This window comes from Homo sapiens, chromosome 2 (genome assembly GCF_000001405.40).
Source record: "Homo sapiens chromosome 2, GRCh38.p14 Primary Assembly".
Classification (NCBI taxonomy): Eukaryota; Metazoa; Chordata; class Mammalia; order Primates; family Hominidae; genus Homo; species Homo sapiens.
This window is the reverse complement of record NC_000002.12, coordinates 17,687,150-17,709,846: the sequence shown is the minus strand read 5'-3', so window position 1 is coordinate 17,709,846 and position 22,697 is coordinate 17,687,150. Positions and strand designations below refer to the sequence as shown.

Genomic DNA, 22,697 nt, shown 5'->3' with positions numbered 1-22,697 from the left:
CTAAGGTTACTTATGTGACTATATCATTTCCTCAGGTATCTGCCCAGTGTTACCTTAGTGAGGCTTTTTCTCGTCTTTTTTTGTGTGTGTAAAAAAGCACCATAAGCTGCCTTCCCTTCTTTTTCTTTATTCTCTGTCTTCCTTCAAAAAAATGTAAGCTCCATGAACAGGGTGTAGTCTGTTTTGTATACTGCTCCCTTTATCCTCTGGAACAGCACCTGGCACAGAGTAGGTGCTCACTAAATATGTGTTGAATTAATGGATGAATAGGTATAAAACATGTATGCAAAGATACTTTGTTTTGGAATTCTAGGACTAGGAAAGCACTAAGAATGCTACCACCATCTTTTCCTCCTCAGCCATTCATTGCTCCTGTACCTCCTATTCTTAGTATGTTCATTTTTCAGTGCTATTGATAGCTCACATGTTTACATTTTAGTTGAAAGATTGTCTCTTTCATGAGCCCAAATTACAATTCATAAGAATATCTTTTCTTTCATATTTCCTCTGTGTTGGTAATAAACTTTACTTCAGTTTTTCTTTTCTCATATCAGGGAAAAGATTGTTTAGCTATTTATAATGAATTTTAAATAATTGACTTATGTATGATAACTGTATGAGATTTAAGGAAATTGTAATTATTAATTATAGTAGGCAGCAGGGCATATTGATTAAGAATCTGGACTCTAGAGCTGAGCTGCCTGGGTTAAATCCTAGCCCAGTTACATAAGTAGCTTCATGACGTTGGGGAACATACTCAACTCTCTGAAGCATCCTTATCTGAAAAAAATGTGGAGAGAATAATACTATTTATCTTATGTGGTTGTTATGAGGATTGAATGAGCTAATATTTGTAACATGCTTATAACAGTGCCTAGCACATAGTATTATATAAATGCTAAATAAATAAACCTATACAGCTATGTTTTCAAATGTTACCAGATATTTGATATTGTCTTGTTATTTATAATTTCCCCCATTACAAATATATATGGAAATATATATACTCTTATATATATATACACAATTTTCATATGTATATATTTATAATTAAAATTTGCTAAGTTAATCCTTCTGTATTTTTGTCTCCTAGAGCTGCTTATCATCCAGACTTTCCAACAGTTCTGACAGCTTTAGAAATAGATAATGCGGTTGTGGCAAATAGCCTAATTGACATGAGAGGCATAGAGACAGTGCTACTAATCAAAGTAAGACCTCCAGATCTTTGCTGTATTTGATGTTATTGTTAAATTTTTAAAACTGAAGATAATTATATAAATTCCTATTCCCCTTTTATCATAGAGTTGCTGATGTGTTTCACTATTGTACTTTTACCTGATAGGAAAATCTGTAGGATAATATAGAAACTGGTTGATTTGTACGTTTTCTGCCCCATGGAACTTTATAATTTTCAGCTGTTCTTTATAAAATCATTTCACAAATGCATATTATTCTTTTGGTGCATGGTGCTATAACTTTTTTTGTTCATTTTTGTTTGGCTGCCAAATTTATTTTTTATTTGCCCTTACAGATATCTGTATTATTCTACTTAAATGAAATATTTTGCTTGATATCTTATGACTTCTTTTTCATATAACTTTGTACTCTGTTAGATAAATCAATATTTACTATTTATCTGTGTAGGTGTTTTTATGTGCTTGTTAGATTAGATCACCATATTTTGTTTCCTCTGTTGGCATAAATTTGCTGAGAAGGGACAAGGTGATTTATATTGTCTCGTTATTTAAAACAAATCTGTAATCAAGACAAAAGTCTTTTTTCTCATTGATAGATGCTAAGAAGGGTCTAGATAACTCAAATGTGTGTGTGTGTGTGTGTGTGTGTGTGTATATATATACATATACATATGTTCATATTGTAATTATTTGTGGGTTCTACTCATATTTTAGAATGGTACTTGAAAAAAAATAATGAAGCGTTGTTGTAAAGGTCTGTCCCCAGAGAGGTTGATTAGGCCTTAATTAATCTAATCTTCTTTTACTTCCTCCAGGGCTTAAATATTTCCAGACTTTCCCTACATATTTCAGTATGTTAATCTTTTATTGGAATTTGCTATTCATTCATATCTTTTCTAGGGTATAAAAGTCATTTAGAAAAAATAATTACTATGAACTGGTCTAAAGTCTATATTTTCACATTAAAAAGCACTTAGAATAGTTTTAACTTTTAAATAGATAGCAATATGTGAATTTAAAAATAAATATACACCAATTTGTCATGAAGCATTGTTTACTAAACTGTTTTAAGACTTTTTAAATAGTTTTCATTCTTCTAACCTTGAAAGTTTTTAAAATTCTTATATTTAACTTTATGAAATTATTTGAATGTTTTAAAAAGAATACTTGAATCATATTAAAATAATAAGGACGAGTAACATTTTGAAATTCTGTACATCAGAAAAATTTTCACATCGTCTTAAAAAATTTATTTTCTTCTATTCTTTTAGAATAATTCTGTAGCTCGTGCAGTAATGCAGTCCCAAAAGCCACCCAAAAATTGTAGAGAAGCTTTTACTGCTGATGGTGATCAAGTTTTTGCAGGACGTTATTATTCATCTGAAAATACAAGACCTAAGTTCCTAAGCAGAGATGTGGATTCTGAAATAAGGTTAGAGTCAAGTTTAGCTTTACTGTATCATTCCCACTGCTTCCTTGGGGGTTCATTTTCTTTCATATTACTCTTTTAGTGGTTGTTTCAGTGAGGACGTGAGTAATCTATCTCAGTGCTTGGTCTTAAAACATCACTTAGCTAGTCATAGAATTCGAGGTTGACAGTTATCTTGCATCATCACTTTAACAACGTCATTCAGGACTGATAATCCAGAACGTATTCCCTCAACTGGATCATTTGTACACTATTTGTTACTTGTCCTCAAGGAGATAGGAGCTTGACTCAATGTAAATCAGCTACATCACTGTGCTCACTGTTTAGTTTTGCCTATTTGTCTCAGAGAGGATACAGCAGACTGGTTTACATTCTGGCTCAAGCTCCTTATAATGTCCCTGATTGGTACTTTGAGGTGCACAGTTCTAGAAAGAAGATCAACTGACATGATTAGAACACATGCCTAGGAAAATACAGCTACTAGAATAGACAAATTGAGAAGTTAAACGAAAAACTATTAAGAGATTCATGAGCATGCAAAAAGAAATTTTGGTATCAAAAAACAACCCCATGATTTCTTAACTGAATTCATTCAGTTGATGAATTGATGGTTTGGGCCTGAATTAATGACTTAGAAGATCTTCAGTAGAAGAACTTAGGACTTAAGTAAAAGAAATATCTAAGACAACTGAGCAGGAAAAAAAAAAAAGAATTATAAATGACTTGTATGTGTAGGGGAAATGAGAGTTTTGTTGAAATAGATTTCTTCTAGTCATTTTTATGTGATTATGAGAGCAGAATAAAGGAAAATAACCATAATGGATGTTGGAAAGTTTAGTAAAACAATTAGCAATAGAAAAAGTTGAATGACTAGCACCTTGGTGTTCTGGCACTTGCTTTTGTTTATTATCTCAATGCAGTTTTCAGTTACAAAAGTATACATAATGTGGAAGCAAACCCTTAGAATGATTACCAGCGTGGTTCATAAAAAAAATTACCTGTGAATTTTTGAATTGTTAAAATGCTATAACATTTTAATCTAATCTTCAGAAGTATGCTCTTTAAAATTTTATTCTTTTATTTGTTCTTTCAAACAACAAATACTTAATGGGTATCTAATACTCCAGGCACTAATCAAGGCACAAGACACATCAGGAAACAAAGTATTAATATACAAAATTTCTCTACTGGATCTTAAATTTAGGGGAAGATAGACTATAAATGAATACTAGGTTAGGTGGTGATCAGTGCTGTGGAGACAAATAAAGCATAGTGTGGGGCAAGAGAGTGACGAGTATACTATTTTAGATAGGCTGTCAGGAAAGATGTATTCATCCCACACAAACAACTCACATACTCAGCTCAGGCTTAATATATTTTTCATTAGGTAACATGTTCTCTATGTAAAAACTCAGTAAAAAAAACTAAGGAGGAACACTGTATGAAAATGTATAGGAATTAGTTTTACCCAGTAAAAACAAAGTTGTAAAATTTATTAGTTTTATTAAAGTTACATTGATTGCTTAAATTTATTCTATATGTTCAGAAAAATTGTATAATGACAATATTGTCTTGCTTATTTTGTTGGTTTTCATTTTTGGCTTAGGCTGTAGTTTCCGAAGTTTGTTTACTTGGCAATTTTTTTTGTTTTTTTGAGACAGGGTCTCACTCTGTCACCTAGGCTAGAGTGCAGTGGCAGGATCTTGGCTCACTGCAGCCTCTGCCTCCGGTGTTCAAGTGATTCCTGTGCCTCAGCCACCTGAGTACCTGGGAGTACAGGCAAGTGCCACCATGCCCAACTAATGTTTGTGGAGACAGGGTTTCACCATATTGACAAGGCTGGTCTCAAACTCCTGGCTTCAAGTGGTCTACCCACCTCCACCTCCTAAAGTGCTGAGATTACAGGGGTAAGCCACCGCACCCAGCCTGGCAATTTATTTTTTTAATTTTAATTTTATTTTTTTGAGACAGGGTCTCACTCTGTCGATCAGGCTGGAGTGCAGTGGTGCAATCTTGGCTCACTGCAACCTCCACCTCCTGGGTTCAAGCTATTTTCCTGCCTCAGCCTCCCGAGAAGCTGGGACTACAGGCACGTGCCACCACACCCGGCTAATTTCTGCACTTTTTGGTAGAGACAAGGTTTCACCATATTGATCAGGCTGGTCTCGAACTCCTGACCTCAAGTGATCTGCCCACCTCAGCCTCCCAAAGTGCTGAGATTAGAGGCGTGAGCCACCGTGCCCAGCTGCAATTTTTTTTTTTTTAGCAAAATTACTATTTGTTAATAAAAGTTTAGGTTTATATATGATAAAATAAATATTTCCTATTAAATCCTGAGGACCCATATTAAATTTTTGCACCTGGCCCCATTTTTATCAGAAATTGCGCTATTCTCTTCCTTTCCACATTTTTATCATTTATTCAGCTAACATTTATTGAGCCTTTTTTTGTAATTTAAAAATTCTAGCAAGGTAGCACAGTTGTTTTACATACCAGTAAATGTTGTATATACTATTATTTTATGTACCAGTAAAAAGGAAATAAATGCTAATTGAACCACAAACTGCAAAATGGTTTCAGATTTCAGAGATGTTAAAATGTGGAGAAATATTCATCTTAGTGGAATATGGCCAGCTCCAGGGAATATCCCCCAGACCAGGGAAAAGTTGTTCTTAACTGCAAAGGTAGTTCTCTTCCACCAAGCACAAAGCTTTGGAAGACAGATACTTGGATTAGTGAGGAAAAGATCAGTTCTGAAGCCAGTTGACTCTGCTGTATGGAGACTCATTTTTATGAATTTGGAATCTGGTACTTTATTTATTCTCCATATCTTCTTATTGTCGTCCTCTTCTTCCCCTTCACTACTCACACATTTGTTGCGTTTATTCACCAACAGAAGTATTAAGCTATTAGTTTTATCTGTTTTAATCACTCTCTGTGCCTTTTTGTATTTCTTTTTATCTTCTCCCCTAGTTGGTCCAGCTGATGAAAAATTTAGAGAATACGATTCAGTTATCTCTTCTCCCAGATTAACTCTTATGCTCCTGTAGTACTATGGATATATAATCTAGTGTCCTGTTCACATTTTAATGTGATAGTTTATTTCCTGGTTTTTTTTTTTTGGAGTTACATCTTAATTCTGTTTCTACTTCTGTCTACCACTATGCATAATACTGGCACACATAAGTCATAAGTATATTTGACCCTTGAACAGTGCAGAGGTTAGGGGCACTGACCCCCAATGCAGTCAAAGTCTATATAACTTTTAACTCCCCAAAAACTTAATAGCCTACTGTTGACTGGAAGCCTTACTGATAATATAAATAGCCGATTAATATATATTTTAGATGTTATAGGTATTATGTACTGTATTCTTATAATACAGTATATACAGTACAGTATATTATACAATATACTACAAATACAGTATATGATACCATACAGTATGTCATATATTCTTACAATACAGTTAGCTACAGAAAAGAGTATGTTAAAATCATAAGGAAGAGAAAATATATTTACTATTAATTAAATAAAAGTAGATCATCATTAAGGTCTTTATCCTTATTGTCTTCACATTGAATAAGCTGAGGAAAAGGAGTGGTTGGTCTTACTGTCTCAGGGGCGGCAGAGGCAGAAGAAAATCTGTGTATAAGTGGACCCACATATTTCAAACCCTGCATTGTTCAAGAGTCAACTCTACTTGTTAAGGAAATAAGTAAAACTTGATTCCTGTTTAGAATGTTTTTTGAAATGTCTGCAATAGATTTTCATGATTAATAGCTTGGTAGGATTATAGAACTGGTTTAACTGAAAAGGATTTTGCACATAACTTACTATAAATAAGGCTTTCTTTGTAAAGGTCTAAAGTATTTGTAATATTGAGAAAAAGATTTAAAGTATTTTCTATCTTCTCCTTTCCTATCAAGTGACTTGGAGAATGAGGTTGAAAATAAGACGGCCCAGATATTAAATCTTCAGCAACATTTATCTGCCCTTGAAAAAGATATTAAACACAATGAGGAACTTCTTAAAAGGTGCCAACTACATTATAAAGAACTAAAGGTAAAAAAATAATAATAATAAACCTTCTTTTGTTTTTTTCAACTTACTACTACGAAGTTGATTTTAAGATCCCATTATTGACTCCAAGCAATTCTCAAACCTTTTGGCCTCAAGCCCCTTTACACTCATCAAAGAGCTTTCATTTATGTGGGTATATCTGTCAACGTTTACATTTTTAAAAATTAAAACAAAATTTAAGAATATTTATTAATTCATGTATTAGTCTGTTTTCACACTGCTGATAAAGACGTACCCAAGACTGGGTAATTAATAAAGAAAAAGAGGTTTAATGGACTGAGAGTTTCACATGGTTGGGGAGGCCTCACAATCATGGCGGAAGGCAAAAGGCACATCTTACGTGGCGGCAGCCATGAGAGAAAGAGAGCCAAGCAAAAGGGGAAACGCCTTATAAAACCATCAAATCTCATGAGACTTACTCACTACCACAAGAACAGTAGGGGGGAAGCTGCCTCCATGGTTCAATTATCTCCCATCAGGTCCCTCCCACAACACATGGGATTATGGGAACTTAAATTCAAGGTGAGATCTGGGTAGGGACACAGCCAAACCATATCAATTCATTTAAAAATAGTAATAAACTTAGTTAACAGAAATATTTTTTATTTAAAAAAACAAAGCTTTGAAACCAAAAAGATTTTGTGAGAAGATTGGAATATTTTTTAAGTATCTGATGTCCAAGTTTAATAAAATTCAATTAAATAGTTATATCAGTTTTTGCATTCAGTCTGTTGTGGTATTACAAATCATATATTTATAAACTTTATATATACTCATGAGAAAATGCTAATAAAAGTGGCAAATAATGTCTAATTGTTTTTATGAAAATAGTTTTGGCTTCACAGACCATCTGAAGGATATCAGAAACCCCCACAGCTTACTTGGATCATATTTTGAAAACCACTGGATTAGAATAATCATTCCATAACTTGAGACTTTGGATGTTTCAGAAAAATTTTTCTCGTTGGACTCAACAGTGCCATCATTTAAAATGCTAAGATGGATTACTTACATCTCTTTTGCATGGGAATGGATTAGTATATAAGAATGATATGGCAGAATTTATACGTAATTTCCTTTGGTTGATTTAATACTAATGTACCCCTTTCATTAATTATGGAATCCTTCTGTATCATCATTATAGAGCTTTGTAGATTAATGAATCCTTTCCAAGGTTTTCGGTTTAAATTTTTTTTTATGTTACTAAAATCCAAATACTTTTCTTTTAGATGAAAATAAGAAAAAATATTTCTGAAATTCGGGAACTTGAGAACATAGAAGAACACCAGTCTGTAGATATTGCAACTTTGGTAAAATACTTTTTTTCAATTTAAATGTAATATTAAAGGGTAAAGCCACCATTTAGGTTAATGGCATCAACTCAGCTTTTTTAGAAAGTTCTTTTAATTGAAGCTACTCTTTATGATTGCTGTCTCCATTCACCAAGAAGGTAAAAACTACCTGGTATACAGCCTTCATATTTTTTAATGTTTTGTGTATATATAACTTTCATGCATAATAATTGATTTTGTCTCCTATCACATGGAAAAAAACTTTACCAAAACTTAATTGTATTTCTAAACAAGGGCCCATCAAACCCTGCTGTTGAGCATAGTGTTTTTCACATAGGCACTCTCAGAGTTCAGCAGTATCAATATGAATGGGCACAGATGTCAGGATCATCTTTTAGTCAGTTCTAGTTGGTGTCTTGTTTTTTTTCTTTTTTTCAAATCAGTATTTTTCATTTTAAATCAACGCATTTTTTACTGTAATCTTTTTTTCGGGAATCTGTTTATGACACTTAGCTTTTTCTGAGTTGCAGTAAACAGTGAATTAGATAAATGGCACAGTTGTGTTAAAGTGAATAAATATTTATCGAGTGTCTGCTCTGTATCAGGAAGCATATTAACTGCTAAGGAATACAGCAGTGCGCAAAATGGAATAAGTCTCAGTGCTAGTGAAGCTTTACCCTGATTAGAATTTGTCTCCATTTTTTACTAGTAGTCTTTTCACTTTCTGCTTTTTATTTTTCTGCTTTAATTCCTTTTTTTGATAGACTAAATTTTTGTATTATTATTATTATTATTATTATTATTATTATTATTTTGAGACGGAGTATCACTCTTGTTGCCCAGGCTGAAGTGCAGTGGTGCAATCTTGGCTCACTGCAACCTCTGCCTCCTGGGTTCAAGCAATTCTCCTGCCTCAACCTCCCAAGTAGCTGGGATTACACAGGCATGTACCACCACACCCGGCTAATTTTTTATTTAGTAAAGACAGGCTTTCACCCTGTTGGTCAGGCTGGTCTCAAACTCCTGTCCTTAGGTGATCCACCCGTGTCGGCCTCCCAAAGTGCTGGGATTACACGCATGAGCCACTGCACCTGGCCAACTAAATTTCTTAAACATATGGATAATATCTTATTTATGTTTGTTTACTTAGCATCTAACATATTCTCTGGCACAAGATATATATTGTATAGTTTGGAAAAAATGAATAGAATGAAAGTCATTCTTTTTGATTATGATCTTAAGCAGAATATTGTCTCCTAAATATCATCCCTTCTGATTTTTCAGCTTGTTTTCCTCTACTTCCTAATTTACCATTAAGAGTATAAAAATATTCTAGTGTTCTATTTGTATTTGATCTGATTTGCATATAGCCTATAGTTTCTCCTCTCTCAGAATTATTTTTATGTTTCTTCTATTTGAAAACTTAAAGTATTTTAATTAACCTTATATGCTGTTTAAATTTTATCAGGAAGATGAAGCTCAGGAAAATAAAAGCAAAATGAAAATGGTTGAGGAACATATGGAGCAACAAAAAGAAAATATGGAGCATCTTAAAAGTCTGAAAATAGAAGCAGAAAATAAGTATGATGCAATTAAATTCAAAATTAATCAACTATCGGAGCTAGCAGACCCACTTAAGGTATATATTTTTGGTACTGTGTTACGTATGTATTTTATGTTTTAGTTTTATATCCACATGTACTCTATGGATATTGGCCTAAAAGAATTTTTGGTTAAATGTAAATAGCATAAAAATTGAATATAAAGAATGGTGGGAACCAAACTTTCATCATTAGATCAATTAGTATTAAACACTTCTGTTCATGGCTTTAGGAGAATAAATCACCAAATTTCCATTTCTCCTAGAGGATTATAGCTTTTTTTTTTCACCTTTTTATGATTTTTAAAAATCAGAACCAGGAGCAGAGACGTCTCGTACGTGTACAATGTCTCTGTGCTTGCTTGTTGTCCCAGCTTTGCTTCAATAACTCAAAGATTAGTTGCTGTAAAAGCCAACTTGAAATAAAGTACTACTCATCTCTTGTTTGTCAGCTATCTCAGTTATGTTTCAGGCTGAATTCAATTGACTTTATTTTTAGCACATACTTTTTGAGACAAAATTGACCATGAAGTTTTTCATAATATTCACTTGTTATTCCTCATAAATCTGATCAACAGAGAAAAAATAAACTAAAGAAAAACAAATAGACTGAAACAAACAAACAGCATCTTAGGGACCTGTGAAACTATAACAGAATAGCTGACATTTGTATTGTTGGAGTCTTAGAAAGTGAAGGAAAAGAGGGCATGACTGAAAAAGTACTTAAAAAAGTAATGGCTAAACACTTCCCAAATTTGGCAAAAAGCATAAACTTACAGATTAAAGAATGTACGTAAACCAAAAACAAGATAAACCCAAAGTAATCTGCAATAAGACACATTACAGTGAAACTTCTGGAAATTAAAGAAAAGGTCTTACAGATAGCAAGAGAAAACCTTATATAGAAAAGGATTTTTGTGTGACAGCATATTTCTCATCAGAAACCATGGAGACCAGATGGAAGTGGCACATTTTTCAAGTGCGAAATGACCTGTCAACCCTGTGTCCACCAAAAATATTTCCAAGCAATAAAGGAAAAATTCAAGATATTCTCAGATAAAGGCAAACTTAGAGAATTTGTTAGGAAAAATAAAAGGGGGAATCTTGGAACATCAGGAAGGAAAAAAAATGAGATAAAAATAGGAAAAAATGCAATAGACTTTACTTCTTGAGTTTTAAAAATTATGTTTAGAAGGCTAGCAAAAATTATAATATCTGAGATAATTCTAAATGTATGTAGAGGAGGTATTTAGGACCATTATATTTAAAATGGGGAAAAGAAAAGGGATACAAAAGGGAGGTAAGATTTCTATCCTTCTCAAACTGGTAAAATAATTATGCCAGGAGACTGTGATGTTTGGTGTATATAATGTAATACCTACAGCAGCTACTAAAAAAGCTATACAAGGAGATGCACTAAAACGTACTACAGATAAATCGAGATGGAATCCTTAATGTATGTTGGAGTAACCACATGGGGCAGGAAAGAGAAGACAGATGAACAACAGAATACAACAAATAAAATGACAGACTTAAATTTAGACTTACTTGTCTAAATAAACAAAAGACAGATATGGACAGAGTAGATTAAAACATGACTATATGCTCTCTATAAATAGCTCACTTCAAATACAGCCATATAGGCAGGTTGAAAGTAAAAGGATGGAAAATGGTATATCTTGCAAATAATAATCAATGGAAAACAAGAGTAGCTATATTAAAATCAGATGAAGTGGACTTCAAAATAAAATTACCAGAGACAAAAAAGGACATTACGTAATGACAAAAGGTTCAGTCCACCAAAAATACATAGCAATTCTAAATATGTGTGCAACAAATATTAGAGCTGTAACATAAGGGAAGCAAAATCTTATAGAACTTCCTCAATAATTGATAGAGCAACTATACCAAAAATGAACAAGGATATAGAAAAACTCAACAGGATCTAATCATTATTTATATATTGTTCAGTAAAATTTATCCATTTAAAGTGTATAATTCAATGATTTTTCATGTATTCAGAGTTGTGTAACCATTTCCACCATTTTAGAACATTTTCATCGCCTAATAAAGAAACCCGTACTGATTAACAGACACTCCCAATTCTCTCCTGTTCCCATCCCCTGGCAAAAACAAATCTACTTTCTATCTCTATAGATTGCCTATTCCAGATATTTCATATGAGTAGAATCATATAGTATGTGGTCTTTTGTTACTGGCTCCTTCAACTTAGCATAATGTTTTCAAGTTTCATCCAGGTTGTAGCATGTGTCAGAACTTTATTACTTTTTATTGCCTAGTCATGTTCACATTTATGCATTCATCAATTGATGGACATTTGGGTGCTGCTGCTGCGAACATTCATGTACAAGTTTTTGTATAGATATGTATTATCATTTGTCTCAGATACCTAGGAATGGAATTACTAAGCTATGTGCTTACACTTCATTTTGAAGAACTTTGAAACTTTTCCAAAGTGACTGTACCATTTAATGTTCTCACCAACAGTGTTTGAATGTCCCAATTTCTCCACATCCTTATCAACACTGGTTATTTTCTGCCTTTTTAATTTTAACCATGCTAGTGAGTGAGAAGTGGTATCTCATTGTGATTTTGATTTGCATTTTCCTTATGGCTAATACTCTTGGTAGTTTTCATGTTCTTATTGGCCATTTGTTTATCTTTGGGGAAATGTCTTTTTAAATCTTTGCCCGTTTTACAGTTGGGTTCTGAGTCTTTTATTTTTGAGTTGTAAGAGTTCTTTATATATTCTGGATATGTGTTGGCTGTTTTTCATGGTATAGTAAATGTTTTAATTCATTTTTCAATTATTCCTAGTATATAGATAGATGACTGAATTTTGTATTGACCTGTATCCAGTGACCTTTCTAAACTCACTTATAGTTTTGAAGTTCTTCTTTTGGAATTTATGTGCCATCATCTGTTTTTGTATAAATACAGTATTACCCTTTTTTTTTTCTAATTGTTATGCTTTCTATTTCCTTTTATTTTAACTGAACTATCCAGAACCTCCAACAACTGTTGACCTTTAGTACATTGTTGAATAGACGCCATGAGACTGGAAGTCCTTACCTTGCTCTTGTTCTTAGAAAGAAAGCATTCTATATTTCATCATGAAGTAATAGCTACTATTTGTGTTTTAATTGTCCTGTTTTTGTTGTTCTTCATACTTTCCCTCTTTATGTCCTTCCTTTGAGATTACCAAGTAATTATGAGTGTTCCTTTATCTCTTCTCCCAGTTTTTTAGCCATACCTCTTGTTTTATTTTTCCAGTGGTGGCCGTGCATTATAGTATGCATCTTTACCTTATATCTACTACTGTTTGTTTTTAAAGTGATCTTGGGATAGCTTCTTTCCAGTTGTATTTTATGCTCAAAATTGTGAAGTTATACCAGATGTGACTAAATAAATCAGCGTTAAATTTTTTCACATCCTTGCTTTTTCCCGAACCCACCCTTTTTAAAACCAGGTATCCTTTTTCAGGTGTCCTCTGTAAATACCTAACACTTGCATTGTTTTAAGTTTTTAAAGGCTAATGTGGATTCCCCCAAAAACACCTAGTTTATTAGAATAAAACTGAAAGTACCATAATATATGGGGAATTCAGATAAGAATTTGAATTTAATGTGACTTCCTAATTTGGGAAACTCCTCACTTCTATTCAGACACATATGGATATAATAACACTTGCCTCTTCAAACAGCATAATCCTAGCCACTTTACCGAGTTGTTTATTATCTTTATACCTATGCTGGAAATTTTTTTAAAACAATCTTTTATTCTGGCTTTGTTCAAACAGGATGAATTAAACCTTGCTGATTCTGAAGTGGATAACCAAAAACGAGGGAAACGACATTATGAAGAAAAACAAAAAGAACACTTGGATACCTTAAATAAAAAGAAACGAGAACTGGATATGAAAGAGAAAGAACTAGAGGTTTTTCACCATTTTTTTCAAGTTATTTTGTTTTCAGCCTTAGCCATGATTATTAAAGTGTGTTTTCCCTAATGTCATGTTTCTAAAAACAGAAAAGTTGTCTGAATTTCTGTTTCATATAGAGTAATAGGTGTTTGGGTGAATCAACAGAAGAGGCTTAGGGACCCTCAGAGTGTGAGGACTTAAATAGGCAAGACTCTGACAGTCCTGTATTATGCCTCTGAGTGCTTTAGAAAGTAGCGCTGTCTTTCAGCTAACATAGCTCCTTAGATGCCCACCTTGGCAAGCGGATAGCCCTTGAGTGTCCGGAAAAGGCACCCCTTCCAGTGAGTAGTTGGGCTGTGGGCCGGGCTAGATTTTAGCTCCTACGAGACATGTCTATTGGCAATTCTAAGCAGTGACCCGGTGTTTAGAGGAGAATAAATTGAAGGCAACCTTGTCCTAACCAGAACAGATGGATTCCAATTTTGCATTTATATCTTAAGGAAAATGATCTAAACTCTGTAATTCATTTTCTTACTTGTTTTCCTCATTTGTTTAAGAATAATACAGAAAGTTGTGAATATAAAAAAGTACTATGTGTAAAAGTGCCTTGTATTCTTTACCCCATGAGGGTCTTTGTTTGTGTTTTTAATACCATTGGTGCTCAGAGTCAACCCTAAAGGATGTGGAAACCTACATCTCACCTCGATGCCCTGGGTAGCAAGCTTTTCGTAACTGCTGCATTAAATTTGTTTCACTAGGAAGTTGTGGAGATCTTGCACCTTATTAGTTACACACAGCAATGCAGTTTTCTCTTGAGGTCATTACTCTGGACTTTATCTTCAATATAAAACTTAGATAAATATAAATAACATTGATATTAAATGTAATTAAAATACATTTCTTAAAAATGAGTTCAGAATTTTACTTTGCAGATTTTGGCACAAGTAGTATAATGAATTGTTATATCAAAGAAGAGTTTTAAAGATATAAACATCTACTTTCTTAGGAGAAAATGTCACAAGCAAGACAAATCTGCCCAGAGCGTATAGAAGTAGAAAAATCTGCATCAATTCTGGACAAAGAAATTAATCGATTAAGGCAGAAGATACAGGCAGAACATGCTAGTCATGGAGATCGAGAGGAAATAATGAGGTAAGTAGCTGGTAGCTTTTCTGCTTTACCACATTATTCATGCATATCATCAAGACAAAAAATGAAAAACATATACATGTCTTAAATTTGAATGAAGTGTTACTATAGCAAATAGTTATAGCTGAAGTAGTCCTTTATATGTGTATTATTCTCAATAAATAGTAACCTTTTTTCTTCTGAACTATTACAAAACTCATTATGGAATTTCATTTTAACATAAATGCTTTCGTGTATCTATAAGGTTCATATAGACATGAAAATGTTCAACTTCATAAGCAATGAAAGAAATGGAAATCAAAACAGAAGCCATTTTTCAAATACATCAAATTGAATAGGATGAAAATAACACTAATATTCTAGGTCAGTAAGGTTCAATGAAATGGATATTTTCATATTACTGATAAAAACAGATGCTCTTGATAATTAGAGCACAGGTTCTGAAGAAAGAGTATCTTGATTTAAATTGCATTTCCACCACCTATTTATGTGACTTTGGCAAATTAGCTATCTCTCTGAACTTTAATTTTCTCATTCACAAAATGGGGATTGTTCTGAAGATTAAATGAAATGATCCATAAACAATATGTGGGAAATATAGTATATTAGTTGTTACCATTAATGTCTTTCTGAAAAGCATTTAGTGGTATGTCAACATATTTTGTCAAAATTTTAATTGACCACCTAATTTGTTGTTATTACATACTCCAGTGGGGTACATATGGCATTTTGATACATACATACGATGTGTAATGATCAAATCAGAGTATTTAGGATCTTCATCACCTCGAACATTTATTATGTCTTTATGTTGGGAACATTTCAAATCTCCTTACATTGTTGTTAACTAAAGTCACCCTACTGTGCTATCAAACAGCAGAACTTATTCTATCTAACTGCGTGGTTGTACCCATTAACCAATCTCTTTTAATTACCCCTCCCATCCCACTGACACACACCCTTTGCAGCCTCTGGTGCCTCATTCAACTCTACCTCCATGAAGTCAACTCTTTTAGCTCCCACATATGAATGAGAATATGCAAGATTTGTTGTTCTGTGCCTGGCTTATTTCACTTAATACAATGACCTCCAGTTCCATCTGTGTTGCTGTAAATGACAGGATTTCATTCTTTTTTTTTTTTTTTTTTTTTTTTGAGATGGAGTTTTGCTCCTCTTGCCCAGGCTGGAGTGCAATGGCGTGATCTCGGCTCACTGCAGCCTCTGTCCCCCGGGTTCAAGCGATTCTCCTGTCTCAGCCTCCTGAGTAGCTGGGATTACAGACAGGCACATGCCACGACGCCCATCTAATTTTTGTATTTTTAGTGGAGACCGGGTTTCATCATATTGGTCAGGCTGATCTTGAACTGCTGATCTCAGATGATCTGTCTGCCTCTGACTCCCAAAGTGCTGAGATTACAGGCATGAGCCACCACGCCTGGCCTCATTCTTTTTTTTTATTTTTTATTTTTATTATTATACTTTTAGGGTACATGTGCACAACATGCAGGTTTGTTACATATGTATACATGTGCCATGTTGGTGTGCTGCACCCATTACCTCGTCATTTAACATTAGGTATATCTCCTAATGCTGTCCCTCCCCCCACCACACAGCCGGCCCCGGTGTGTGATGTTCCCCTTCCTGTGTCCATGTGTTCTCGTTGTTCAATTCCCACCTATGAGTGAGAACATGCAGTGTTTGGTTTTTTGTCCTTGTGATAGTTTGCTGAGAATGATGGTTTCCAGCTTCATCCATGTCCCTACAAAGGACATGAACTCGTCATTTTTTATGGCTGCATAGTATTCCATGGTGTATGTGTGCCACATTTTCCAGTCTATCATTGATGGACATTTGGGTTGGTTCCAGGTCTTTGCTATTGTGAATAGTGCCGCAATAAACATACATGTGCATGTGTCTTTATAGCAGCATGTTTTATAATCCTTTGAGTATACACCCAGTAATGGGATGGCTGGGTCAAATGGTATTTCTAGATCCCTTAGCAATCGCCACACTGACTTCCACAGTGGTTGAACTAGTTTACAGTCCCCATCAACAGTGTAAAAGTGTTCCTATTTCTCTACATCCTCTCCAGCACCTGATGTTTCCTGACTTGTTAATGATCGCCATTCTAACTGGTGTGAGATGGTGTCTCATTGTGGTTTTGATTTGCATTTCTCTGATGGCCAGTGATGATGAGCATTTTTTCATGCGTCTTTTGGCTGCATAAATGTCTTCTTTTGAGAAGTGTCTGTTCATATCCTTCGCCCACTTGTTGATGGGGTTGTTTGTTTTTTTCTTGTAAATTTGTTTGAGTTCATTGTAGATTCTGGATATTAGCCCTTTGTCAGATGAGTAGATTGCAAAAACGTTCTCCCATTCTGTAGGTTGCCTGTTCACTCTGATGGTAGTTTCTTTTGCTGTGCAGAAGCTCTTTAGTTTAATTAGATCCCATTTGTGAATTTTGGCTTTTGTTGCCATTGCTTTTGGTGTTTTAGACATGAAGTCCTTGCCCATGCCTATGTCCTGAATGGTTTGCCTAGGGTTTCCTCTAGGGTTTTTATGGTTTTAGGTCTAACATGTAAGTCTTTAATCCATCTTGAATTAATTTTTGTGTAAGGTATAAGGAAGGGATCCAGTTTCAGCTTTCTACATATGGCTAGCCAGTTTTCCCAGCACCATTTATTAAATAGGGAATCCTTCGCCCATTTCTTGTTTTCGTGAGGTTTGTCAAAAATCAGATAGTTGTAGATATGCGGCATTATTTCTGAGGGCTCTATTCTGTTCCATTGGTCTATATCTCTGTTTTGGTACCAGTACCATGCTGTTTTGGTTACTGTAGCCTTGTAGTATAGTTTGAAGTCAGGTAGCATGATGCCTCCAGCTTTGTTCTTTTGGCTTAGGATTGACTTGGCAACGCGGGCTCTTTTTTGGTTCCATATGAACTTTAAAGTAGCTTTTTCCAATTCTGTGAAGAAAGTCATTGGTAGCTTGATGGGGATGGCAGTGAATCTATAAATTACCTTGGGCAGTGTGGCCATTTTCACGATATTGATTCTTCCTACCCATGAGCATGGAATGTTCTTCTATTTGTTTGTATCCTCTTTTATTTCATTGAGCAGTGGTTTGTGGTTCTCCTTGAAGAGGTCCTTCACGTCCCTTGTAAGTTGGATTCCTAGGTATTTTATTCTCTTTGAAGCAATTGTGAATGGGAGTTCACTCATGATTTGTCTCTCTGTTACTGGTGTATAAGAATGCTTGTGATTTTTGCATATTGATTTTGTATCCTGAGACTTTGCTGAAGTTGCCTATCAGCTTAAGGAGATTTTGGGCTGAGAGGATGGGGTTTTCTAGATATACAATCATGTCATCTGCAAACGGACAATTTGACTTCCTCTTTTCCTAATTGAATACCCTTTATTTCCTTCTCCTGCCTGATTGCCCTGGCCAGAACTTCCAACACTATGTGGAATAGGAGTGGTGAGAGAGGGCATCCCTGTCTTGTGCCAGTTTTCAAAGGGAATGCTTCCAGTTTTTGCCCATTCAGTATGATATTGGCTGTGGGTTTGTCATAGATAGCTCTTATTATTTTGAGATACGTCCCATCAATACCTAATTTATTGAGAGTTTTTAGCATGAAATGTTGTTGAATTTTGTCAAAGGCCTTTTCTGCGTCTATTGAGAGTCATGTGTTTTTTGTCGTTGGTTCAAAACGGCAACTATTCACAATAGCCAAGATATGTAATCAACCCACATGTCCATTAATGAATGAAGAAAGAAAAATGTGTATACACACACACACACACAGACACACACACACAGAGACACACACACACACACACACCAGAATACTATTCAGCTTTTTTATAGCTTTTTTGTAGCTGAATAGTATTCTGGTGTGTGTGTGTGTGTGTGTGTGTGTGTATACACATTTTTCTCTCTTCATTCATTAATGGACATGTGGGTTGATTACATATCTTGGCTATTGTGAATAGTTGCTGTTTTGGTTTAGTGATATATCTTGAAGATCTTCTTATGTTGGTACATAGATATTTCCTCATTGTCTTTTATAATTTCACTGTATTTAATAATCTCCTTTTCATGGATAGCTGCGTTTTAATCTAATCTTTTGTTGTTGCAAATGGTGGAACACAATAAGTGAATGCGCATTATTTTATATGTACTCAGCGTTTTTTTTTTAGTAGTATAAACTCCATATGGTCAGATTTCCCTTTATAGGGATTGTACCAATTTTGCATTCCCATTAGCGATGTGTTAGAGTGCCTGTTTTCCTACAGCCTAAACAGCGTGTGGCCTTCTTAGATTCTTTTTTCTGATAGATTTCCCAAGAAAAAGAATTAACCGTAATTTTAATGTACGTTTCTCTTACATTGAGTGAAGTTGAACATCTTTTCATTTATTTATATTTATTTTTCTATGACCTTTTCATGTACTTTTTTGTCTATTCGGTACATTATGCAGATTTTAAAAATTAAATTAATTTTGTGATAATATATTCACAGGGAGTTTTTTTTTGTTTTTTTGGTTTTTTTGTTTGTTTGATTTTTTGAAATGGAGTCTTCCTCTGCAGGCTGGAGTGCAGTGGTGCAATCTTGGCTCACTGCAACCTCTGCCTCCTGGGTTCAAGCAATTATCCTGCCTCAGTCTCCTGAGTAGCTGGGATTACAGGCGTGCACCACCACGTGCAGCTAATTTTTTGTACTTTTAGTAGAGCTGGAGTTTCGCCATGTTGACCAGGCAGGTCTCGAACTCCTCACCTCAAGTGATCACCTGCCTCAGCCTCCCAAAGTGCTGGGATTACAGGCATGAGCCACCACACCTGGCCACAGGCAGTTGTTTAAAAACCATACTGTTTTAGTTATTGTGGCTTTATGATGTTCTTTCTGATTTTCATTGTTAATTTATTCAGTGAATTTAGTAACCTGAGCAAAAGCTATTTATTTTTCTGTGCAAAATCAATTTTAATTCCATGGTCTGCTAGTCACTCACATATTACATTTCTCTATTAGTTATAAAGTAAAATAATTGCAGTAATGATTTAAGAAGCAACTGGAGCTCAAACGAAATTTTAATCCTAGTGGATTTTCCCATTTGGAATTAATAATGTATTGAATAGAGAAATTGCCTAGATCCAATTGCCATAGACATGCATCCATTATTGTAAATACAGCTGGCTCTCTGTATCCACTGATTCCATATCCACAGGTTCAACCAACCACAGATTGAAAAGACTGGGGGAAAAAACTCAAAAACAACAAAAAAAGAACACAATAGTAAAAACTAATACAAATTTTTTAAAAAATACAGAATACAGTGTAACAACTATTTACATAGCATTTACATTGTCTTAGGTATTATAAGTAATCTCTAGAGATGATTTAAAGTATACAGGAAGATGTATATAGGTTATATGCAAATACTATGACATTTATAAAAGGGATTCATGGATTTTGGTATCTGCCCAGGGGGCCCTGGATCTAGTTCCTTTGCAGATACTGAGGGACAGCTCTATCAAAAATCATAAAACTTCAAACATTATTGAAAGGCCATATATATTTAGCATGTATACATGCACACATATACATACACTCACATTACTTTACTTTTTTTTCTGTACCATTCAAAAGTAGGTTTCATAAATCATGACCCTTTACCTCTTAGTACTTCAATATATTCCCTAAGAATAAGAGTATTATCTTACATAACCACAATACTGTTATAAAGTACAGGAAACTTAACATTGATACCTGTAGTCCAGTTCCAATGTTGACGGTTCTCCACGTCTTTCCTACGATATCAGATGCAGTCTAGGGTCGTGTATTTCATTTGTCATGCTCTTTTACAGAATGCTCTTTGTTTTGATTTTATACGATATTTTTTCTTATAATTAGGTTCATATGTGTTCTTGGCCAGGATGCTACAGAAATGATGATGTATCGTTTTCTGGGTATCACATCCAGAGGCACATAATCTGTCTATCTATTTCTCTCTCTCTCTCTTACTGATGATGTTAATTTTGATCACCCAGTAAAGGTGTTAATTGGTTTTTCCATTATATGCTTTACTATTTTTTCCCTTGCAACTAATAAACATTCTGCAGACAGACACTTTGCAACCCTGCCAGTATCCTGCTTTTCATCATATTTTCATCCCTAGATTTATCCTCTGCTAATGATTCTTACCTGAACGAATCTTTACTATACTGCTTGCAAAATGAGGAGTTTTCAATTCTGTTGCATCCTTCATATTTATCAGTCACTTGTAAGGAAGAGCCTATGTTATCTCCAATTTATCTATTTGTTAATTTATTTACTTGCCTTTGCAATATGGACTTTGCAATTATTGCCAAATCCCCTCTGCAAGATATGTTTACAATTATTTTTTTTCTGGTATTTAGTAAATTTACTGTGTTGTAAAGTTACTTGGATTAGGTTTTTCTCTCTACTGTTACAGTTATTAATTGACTTGATTTGGAAATGTTTCTATTTGCATTCAGTTTCCACAGATTTCTGTTTTACTCAATGGACTATAGTCATTTACGGTCCATGTTTATCTTAAGATTTTCTTTTTCTGAGACAGGGTCTCGCTCTGTTGTCCAGGCTGGAGTTCAGTGGCAGGATCTCGGCTCACTGCAACCTCTCCCTCCCGGGCTCAAGTGATCCTCCCACCTCAGCCTCCCAAAGTGCTGGGATTACAGGCATGAGCCACTGCATGGCCTATTTTAAGATTTAAATTGTTCCATCTTTGGTCAAATGGAGGCTCTTCAAGCTGGTTCCTGCATTTTCTTAACATGCTTTCCTTCTTGTTTTTTTTTTTTTTTTAATAGCATTTTTAAACTTTGTGACATAACAAAATATTTCAAGCTCATTCTATACCTGACCCAGCCTTGGAGTCAGTAACTTCTCCAAAGAGCCCTGGTTCCTTTTTTTAAGGAATGATACCTAAAAACAAAATTTGGATTTTAGGGATGCTAATTGTTGCTGGGGTAGCATTTCTTCCAGTACCTTTCAGTTAACAGAATTAAAAACGTGAGTTTGTATTGGTGTCTCCAGTGGCAGTCCAGTCCCACAAAGGGCTTTTTAACCTTAACCTATTCCTTGTTTCTGTCTTTTTTTCCTCCACAGGAGGAATTCTGGCTCTCAACAACGTTAATATTTACTCAGTTCCACAATATATATCTACAGAAAGAAAATTATTGAAAAACATTCAAGATGTGTTTGCAATTATTTTTTCTCTACTATTTAGTAAATTTACTCTGTTCTAAAGTTATTTGGATTAGGTTTTTCTTTATTGTTGTAGTTATTAATTGACTTGATTTAGAAATGCTTTTATTTGTTTTTGTTTACATTCAATTTTTCTCTGATCCTTGTTTATTTAATTTCTCTTTGAGGGGAATATGTAGAAATTAACATGGTTTCACAAGTCAAAGCCATAAACAAAAGTATATTCAGGGAAATGTTCTCCCTCTTTCATCCCTTCCACACCATTTCCCCTGGCCCACTCCCTATAGGCAACAGTTCTTTTTTATTTTCTATCTTTCATGTTTTTTATTTGTTTGTGAAAGTAAGCAGGTTCATATGTGTTTTCTTTTTTCCATGGTTCCTCTACTTTTTTTCACAAAAGGTAGTCAACCATCTTGCTTTTGTCATTCACCAATGTACCTGAAGATCACTCCATATCAGTTCATTGAGATCTTCCTCATTCTTTTTACAGCTTCATTGTACTCTGTTTTGTGAGTCTGCACACACACATTGATCTGTACCATAGTTTATTCAGTCATTCTGTGTGTGTGCATTTTGGTTATTTCCAGTATTTTGCAGTTACAGATAATGCTGCAGTGAATTATCTTGCACATGCACGCACACATGTATATGTGTGCTATTGGATACACTTGTGGCATCATATAAGTGCTCGAATCTGTATCTTCATAGTAATTTTCCAGAAGTGACTTTACTAGTTTGAAGCATAAATGTGTAAGTGGTTTTGT

The 22,697-nt window shown here is 34.4% G+C and overlaps 1 protein-coding gene across 15 annotated transcripts in view; it reads left to right on the top strand.

The window, feature by feature from the left end:
- Positions 1–22,697, top strand: part of SMC6 (structural maintenance of chromosomes 6) — an 89,999-nt gene that overhangs the window by 43,964 nt on the left and 23,338 nt on the right. For 14 of the 15 annotated variants that reach the window (XM_017004916.3, XM_011533108.4, NM_024624.6 and 11 more), the window contains 7 exons: positions 1,094–1,208; positions 2,468–2,628; positions 6,555–6,690; positions 7,938–8,018; positions 9,469–9,639; positions 13,421–13,558; positions 14,550–14,695. In XM_017004916.3, the coding sequence (XP_016860405.1) occupies positions 1,094–1,208; positions 2,468–2,628; positions 6,555–6,690; positions 7,938–8,018; positions 9,469–9,639; positions 13,421–13,558; positions 14,550–14,695 (948 nt within the window). Of the gene's footprint in view, positions 1–1,093; positions 1,209–2,467; positions 2,629–6,554; positions 6,691–7,539; positions 7,881–7,937; positions 8,019–9,468; positions 9,640–13,420; positions 13,559–14,549; positions 14,696–22,697 lie in introns of those variants that run through there. The other variant, XM_047445839.1, reaches the window with a different exon arrangement.